The sequence below is a fragment of the Homo sapiens genome, chromosome Y, assembly GCF_000001405.40.
Source record: "Homo sapiens chromosome Y, GRCh38.p14 Primary Assembly".
NCBI lineage: Eukaryota > Metazoa > Chordata > Mammalia > Primates > Hominidae > Homo > Homo sapiens.
Window position 1 is genome coordinate 2878495 of NC_000024.10, and position 8276 is coordinate 2886770.

The window sequence follows — 8276 nt, forward strand, 5'->3', positions numbered from 1 at the left end:
ATCCTTTTAGGCATCAGACTTTTTTTTGTAAAAAAAAAAAATCATCTTCAACATTTAATCATGTTTACTACAGTACCCTATGCAGTTTGAAAACTAAAAAGTGGGCCGGGCATGGTGGCTCATCCCTGTAATCCCAGTATTTTGGGAGGCTGAGGTGGGTGGATCACCTAAGGTCAGTAGTTCAAGAACAGCCTGGCCAATATGGTGAAACCCCATCTCTAAAAATACAAAAATTAGCCAGGCTTTTTCCTTGTACGTGTAGTCCCAGCTATTTGGGATGCTGAGGCAGTAGAATCGCTTGAACCTGGGAGGCAGAGGTTTCAGTGAGTGGAGATTGTGCCACTATACTCCAGCCTGGGCAACAGAGTGAGACTCCATCTCAAAGAAAAGAAAAAAAAAGAAAAGGAAACTAAAAAGTGGTATTATATTTTAATGGCATGTGGACATAGGTGAAATGACCATTGTTTTGTGTCATGGTATGCCAGCATAAGGAATCAGGATTCCCTGTATAGATCATGGATTATTCATTCCAAACTTTTCCTACTTAGGTGCAATTTGAAAATATATGCATATGGTCAAATGGCAGCAGTAGGTTTCCAGCCTGAGAAATCTGGCTGTACAAATCCATACACCATCCCAACTTCAGCTTTTCCAGAAAGCTGAGTGATGAATCTTGTCAGGCTTTAGCTTGTGACACCAGCAGTTTTACAGTATACAAAATCCACTCTGCTGCTTCTGAAAAGTTGCATAGCTGGAATCCCCAGTGTAATCCATTTCAGCACAACAACTGGGAATCTTTGCTGCAAATAAAGGAAGGCATGGTAAGTATGCAGCTAGTTCTTTCAGGCAAGGACCTGCCAGTCAAAGCAGAAGATAGAAAAGAAATTTTAGAAGAGGCAGGGGAAAATCAACACATTTCAATGAGATAAAAGGAAAGAAGCCTTTATGGTGGTATTGCCGAAAGTGTGCACATTTGCATAGTGGTCAGATAACTGGAAGCTAAAAAGAAAGCTTGATAGCTGAATTGATAACCAGCGACACTAGTTTCATTAAGTCAAAATTGTTCCAACTCTAGCCAACACTGCTTTGGCCTACCCCTTGAAGAAAGGTTGTGGTGAAGAGCAAAGAGAAAAAGTAATGGCTGAACACCATGAATGTTTGTTTTTGACAATGAAAGTAGATTTTAATGGGATTAAGCATATAGTCAATATTTACTGATACACACACACACACATATATATATATAAATAAATATATATATATATATACATATATATAAATAAATATATATATATAAACATACATATATATATCAGTCACTGTGTTAGGTCACTGCTGGGTGTCCCAGACAGATAGACAAGAAAATTAATGTGATAGATAAGAAACATCTCTTGGAAGGAGTGATGTCTGTGCTGGAGGAGTCTTAAGTAGGCAAAGAGGGAGAGGGGGTCTTTTATCTCCAGGAAAGAAATGGGGCAAAAGGTACAAGATGGGAAAGGGCATGGCCGAAAGTGGTTTGTTTGAATCTTGCTCCAGATAAACAGTAGTGAAACAGACATGAAGCTGAAAGGTAGACAAATGTCAGATCTTGAAGTGATTTATTCAGCCATCCTGAGGACCTGGGCTCAAAATCTAGAAGGTATTAAATGCCAACTTAAGAAATTAAATCTGAGTTTGGATGGAGCATGAAGCCAATGTGATAAAAGTGTGCATTAGAGGCTAGGTATGCTGGCTTATGGCTGTTATCCCAGCACATTGGGAGGCAAAGGTGAGTGGATCACCTAAGGCCAGGAGAGCCTGGCCAACATGGCGAAACCCCGTCTCTAATAAAAATACAAAAATTAGCCCAGCATGGTGCTGCACATCTGTAACCCTAGCTACTTGGGAGGCTGAGGCATGAGAATCACTTGAACCCAGAGGTGGAGGATGCAGTGAGCTGAGATCACTCCAGTGCACTGTGGTCTGATGACAGACTGAGACTCTGTCTCAAAAAACAAATAAATAAATAAAAAGAGAAGAAAATGTGCATTGGAAAATGTGAAAGGTGGACTCTTGCAGGAGGTTATTAAAGGCAAAAACCTGCTGGAATGCTTTGACGGAAGGTCAGAAATGGCCCTTGCTGATGCCAGCTGTGAAATTCCACCATGTCCTGCCAGTGATGCAGTCCATGAGTATAATATCACGTGAACTTTGTTACTCAAGTGATGATGCAAATAATGATGATCATGTTTACTGAGCTGGCTAGGTATGAACTGTAATAAAGATGATCTTTGCCAACTAAAATCCAAGTTTAAAATAACTAGGGAAATGTAACTGAGAAAATACTGAAGTAAATAGTGTGTTAAGCTTTCTCCGGAGTTTTTATTTGTGTGTGCATGTGTATGTGTGCATTTGTTCCTTCCTTTGTGCCATCCTAATTTAGGCCCTCATTTGATTTAGGCCAGACTTCGAGAAGTTGCTTATTACCTTTTGCTAGCTTCAGTTCCTTTTTTTGCCCTTGCTCACTGCCATGGTTTTGAATGTCCCCTCCAAATCTAACATTGAAATTCTGTAGCCATTGTAATAGTGTTGGGAGGTGGGACCTTTAAGAAATGATTAGCTGTGAGGGTGCAACCTATCATGACTGGATCGATGGCATTATCTTGAGAATAAGTTAGTTATTGTGTGAGTGGGCTTTGGATCAAAGGATGAGTTTGGCCCTGATTTTCTGTTTATCACAAGTCCTTCACTGTATGATGCCCTCCTGCCATGTTGTAAAGGAACCCTCACCAGATGCAGCCCCTTGGACTTCCCAGCCTCCAGAAACATGAGCAAAATGAGTTTTTTTTTACAAATTACCCAGTCAATGGTATTCTGTTGTTGCAGCAGCAAATGGATTAAAGCACTCTATTATTTTTTCCTCTTTAGAGAACTAAATAAACTTACAAAGGGGCATGTCAAATTTCCTGTCGAATGATCAAAAAGTCCACATATGTTGTAAAAATAGTATAATAGCCCACCACTGAAATAAAGTACCATTTTATGAAATCTTAACCTTGTTTTCAGAAATAAGGGAAAAGCAACCATAAAGGTAAACATGTAATTTTATTGTTTAATAAGAGAATTGCAGGAATTTAAAAATTTTTTATCAATGTAAATTTCAGTCCCTGTTGTCCTGCATAATCTGTTACCCCTTTGGTGGAAGATATGTTGTAATTAGGGTGATATTTGTCCAGTGAAGACGGTTGATGAGATGGCCTGAAAAGACAGGCAGCCGATGTATCAAATGTCATAGGCATTTGGAACCACTGGTTGCCTGCTGGTGGCAGGTTAGGATAAGGAGCCTCATTGACTGATACCTCAAAATATCTGGTTGGAAAAGTAGTTGTTCCACTGGCAGCCCCAAAAAGCTATTCTGTAAGGGAGGTGTGATGTGGTATTGAGAAGTTGTGGTTGTAACAAAATTCACAATGTGTCCATTTGTTTGCATGTAGCTGCTATGAGAGTGCATATGAATATTGGTCAACTGATTTAAAATAGCATGTTGATCTGTGGCAATTTGGTCTGATGATCCAACTGAAGTTGAAGATGGAGGAGGAAAACTGCTTCTGACTGGGTCAGTTGAACTAGCAATTCTCTAGCTGACACAATACTTCCTTGTTAGAGGCATATTTAAATTTGTAGAGGTTGGAAATGAACTTTCTTCACTAGTTTCAGCAGCTAAGCCAGAATTATGACTATCCATGTTATACCCTGCTCTAAAGTGCTTCTTGTTGAAATCTTCAGCAAATAAAGTAGATACAGGAGAAGGATTTTTAATCCCAACTCTTCATTCTTACTGAAAGTTGGGGACAGTCATGTTTGAAATTTGGATTACGAGAACTCTAACTAAAACCAAAGGAGAAGTTGATTTAGTGCCATTTTTAACCAAGAGACAAGCGATTATCACAAATCTAACGTGTAAAGTCTCAGATTTCTGTATTATCACACACAGTTAATGTCATCAGCTAATGCATGCACATTGTTGGCTATTTTTAAGAATGCGCAGCCGGGCGCGGTGGCTCACGCCTGTAATCCCAGCACTTTGGGAGGCCAAGGCAGGCAGATCATGAGGTCAGGAGATCGAGGCCATCCTGGGTAACACGGTGAAGCCCCATCTCTACTAAAAATACAAAAAAAATTTAGCTGGGCTTGGTGGCGGGTGCCTCTATTCCCAGCTACTGGGGAGGCTGAGGCAGGAGAATGGCATGAACCCGGGAGGCGGAGCTTGCAGTGAGCCGAGGCCACTACACTCCAGCCTGGGCTACAGAGCGAGACTCTGTCTCAAAAAAAAAAAAAAAAGAATGCACTTTTTGGGAAAAAAAGCATTCAATTAATAAAGCCGTCAAGTGAAAACATGTTATATATTGACAGTAACATTTCACTAGTGGCTTTGGTATCTTTATTTGGAGTTCACTGATAAGATTCAAAGTTGTTGGCAAAATTTTTTAAGACACTGAAAGTTTAATGCTCAAGTTGTCCTCAATGTTTTCAAAAAATTAAATAACCTTAGTATTTCACATAATTTTTGAAATTTGGTCTTACTGCATGTATTAGCATGTTTACTGATGTATAAAATAAAATCATATATTATACTCTACTTGTGGTAACTGAAATATTTTGAATACTTTGCTTAAAACAGAGACTTGTTTTTCTTCTGCCAGAAAGTTGGCCAAAGAAGCAGATGTTTGAAAATTCTCTCAAATTTTACTAAATACATGGAGGTTGAGCTGTCAAACTAAGCTTTTCATACTGTCAGTTTCCAATATTCTGTAAAGAGCCTTTCTTCCAAAATTTCTTTCTTGAAGAGTTCTTCATTAATCACTCTGCAAGTTCCATTCTCATCCCACGAAATAGACTTGAATTGGTCACTTTCAGCTATTTTCCAAAGTTTCCTGGGAAAGGTCAGAGAAAGAAAATCATTATCTTTATCTGGCTCAGAGACACAAACTGTGTAACGTGGCCTTTTTATCAAGGATCCTTGTGACAAAACCGGAAAAGCATTTTCTTCAATCATTGACCTTAAGTCTGAGTCCCCAGGGAACGTGTGTTCACAAAATGGAGACCTAGTGGAGGCTTCTGAACCAGTTAATTCATCTTTGGGAGAAACATCTTGAGTTTCTGAAGAAACATGTGCCATCTCAAATAAATATTTCTTTAGCTACTCTTCCAGCCTGCATGGTTTTCAAGCCTGCAGCTTCAAATGCTGCTTCAGAAGCCCTAGGCAGATAAAGTAACCATCACGATGTTTCCCAACCTGAGTAGCAATGATATCACAAGAGGGCTTTGGTCTCCTAGCAACAAATGTAAAAAATTCAGCCAAGTATGAGAAATGAAAATTTCTTCATTTTCATTTTCATTCCTCATTTCTTTATAGGACAATTCTTCCTAGAAAGGTATCCAGTAAAAAAAATAAAATGTGGACTTACTACTCACATAGTGTGATCTCCAAAATCTCATTCCTGCAGAATCTTTTAATAAGGAAATAAATAAATAATGTCCTCAATCCCTGAAATAAAAGTGATTTTCTCTGTTACACATACACTCTTACTATATTGGTGCCAGGAGTGTAGGGCCTGGTAATTGGACAATGCAAAAACAACAACAATTAAAAAAAAGATTTTAAAAGCTCTGTCAGTTTGGCATGTTGGATTGGTAACTGATGCAGTGCAGAACCTATGTGTTAAAAGTCCTGTCTCTACTAAGATACAAAAAATTAGCCGAGCATGATGGCGTGCACTGGTAGTTCCAGCTACTCAGGTGGCTGAGGCAGGGGAATCGCTTGATCCCGGGAGGTGGAGATTGCTGTGAGCCAAGTTCACACCACTGCACTCCAGCCTGGTGACAGAGCAAGACTCTGTTAAAAAAAAAAAAAAAAAAAAAAAGCATGGCCTTTGGGCGTGGTGGCTCACGCCTGTAATCCCAGCTCTTTGGGAGCCTGAGGTGGGCAGATCACAAGGTCAGAAGTTCCAGACCAGCCTGACTAACATGGTGAAATCCTGCCTCTACTAAAAATACAAAAATTAGCTGAGTGTGGGGGCACATGCTTATAGTCCCAGCTACTCGGGAGGCTGAGGCAGGAGAATCATTTGAACTCAGAAGGCAGAGGTTGCAGTGACCCGAGACTGCACCATTGCACTCCAACCTGGGTGACAGAGAGAGACTTAGTCTCAAAAAAAAAAAAAAAAAAGTAGGTTACTGGTTGCTGCAGAGGGGATGGGGAATACAAAGAACTGTTTAGTAGATAAGAGCTTTCCTGTTGGGTGATAGAAATGTTTAAGAACTAGAGTGAGGTGATGATTGTATAACATCATAAGCATATTAAATTCCATTGAATTGTACACTTTAAAATAATTTTATATTATGTGAGATGTACTTTAAAAAATTAAGGGCTGGGCACAGTGGCTCACACCTGTAATCCCAGCACTTTGGGAAGCCGAGGTGGGCGGATCACAAGGTCAGGAGATCGAGACCATCCTGGCTAACACAGTGTAATTTTTAGTCTTTACTAAAAATTACAAAAAAATTAGCCGGGCGTGGTGGCGAGTGCCTGTAGTCTCAGCTACTCAGGAGGTTGAGGCAGGAGAATGGTGTGAACCCAGGAGGCAGAGGTTGCAGTGAGCCGAGATTGTGCCACTACACTCCAGCCTGGGCAACAGAGCGAGACTCCGTCTCAGAAACAAACAAACAAAAACTACTTGAATTTCTCCTTCATCTGAGTCAATAACTCCTGGGACTACATTAATGTCCTGTAGGTTAAGACGGCTTTTCCCTAAAATTAGTCCCATGTATCCTGCTGGTAAAGGTCCCCAAAAACCAGTGGGAACTTTGATGGGTTTTTCTCCCACAACTAATGTGATTCTTTCTCTTGAGGGGTAGATCTAATCCTGCACTTCCTGGTGCTCCTGGGGTGAGGGAATCAATGTGCCTCCAGGAACCCATGCCTGAAATGGGGTTGAGGTCTGAACTGGGAATGCCCTCATTGTTTGAGGGGCCGGGGTCCAGGCCCCCCTCTCATTTCCCAACAGCGGGGTGCCATTCTGATTAAATCTTGAGTGGCACTGATTAGCCTGGTGATTTCCTTTGTTAACAGTGAGGACAAAGTCCTGGCGTTTTTTTTTCCCACTGGGTGGGACACTGCATTGTAAGGTCCTTTCTGTCCTGAGAACTGGCAGCATTCCTTTTTAAAATGTCCAATTTTTCCACAATTATAACATTTTCCCATTTTAGGGTTTGACCCTTGGCTCCTTTTAGATTTGTCAACTGCTAAATTAGCCATTGCTTGCGCTAACATTGCAGATCAATGAAGCTCAGTTCCTACATCCTGACAAGCTCTGAGAAAATTTCCCAAGTTTTGTGTACACCTTGCTGGTGCTAGTGCATGTTTACAATCCGTGTTTGCATTCTCAAAAGCTAGAGTTAAGGTTAGCTCTTCTGCACCCTCAGTATGAGGAATCTGATGCTTCACTGCCTCTTGTAATCTTGCAAGAAATTGCAAATAGGGCTCCTGTGACCTTTGCATGATATGTAAAAAGGCTTGTACTGGGACTCCTCCTTTAGGAATTGTGGCCCAGGCATTTTTAGCAGCCTTTGCACACTGCAGATAAACAAAGTGTGGGAGTGCCATTTGTCACTCCAGGTCTGAATAAGGGCCATTACCTAACAGCATATCCTCTGTAATGTCTCCGTGTCCAGCAGCATTATTTTGTCTAGCCTGGTCTGCACACATGTCTTGCCAATTTAAATTCCATGTCAGATATGCGCTAGCAGACAAGTAAGTTTGTGCCAAGTGTTTTACATCAAAGGCTAAAAGATGCATAGCACCGAACGCAGATTCTAGTAATCCTAAAGTGAATGGACTCTGTACGCCATTATTTACCACACTTGCTTTTTAATTCCTTCAACAACTTAAACTCTAGTGGAGTGTGTTCATGAATAACCTGCTATGGATTGTTTGGATCAGGCCTTATGGAAATAGGAAAAGCATAAGCTCCTAAGGACTCCCCAGCTGTGGCAGCAGAGCATAAAATTCTTTATATTGGGGTTTCTATTTCTGCTATTGAAGGAGGTGGTACAGATGTTTCTGCAATTGGAGAAGGGGGTATAGGCCAATCCTCCCTGTGGTATAGGTATCCTCCCTGTTCTGTTTTTAATTTTCAGTCAATGTTGTGGGTGGGACAACAGATGCTTTCAGATTTTTAGACTCAGCATGCTGTCCTGCAGAATAATAAGGACATATTGATAGATGAACAGTATGA

At 40.6% G+C, this 8276-nt stretch overlaps 1 pseudogene; it reads right to left on the bottom strand.

The window, feature by feature from the left end:
• Nucleotides 3066-5226, bottom strand: HSFY3P (heat shock transcription factor Y-linked 3, pseudogene; annotated as a pseudogene).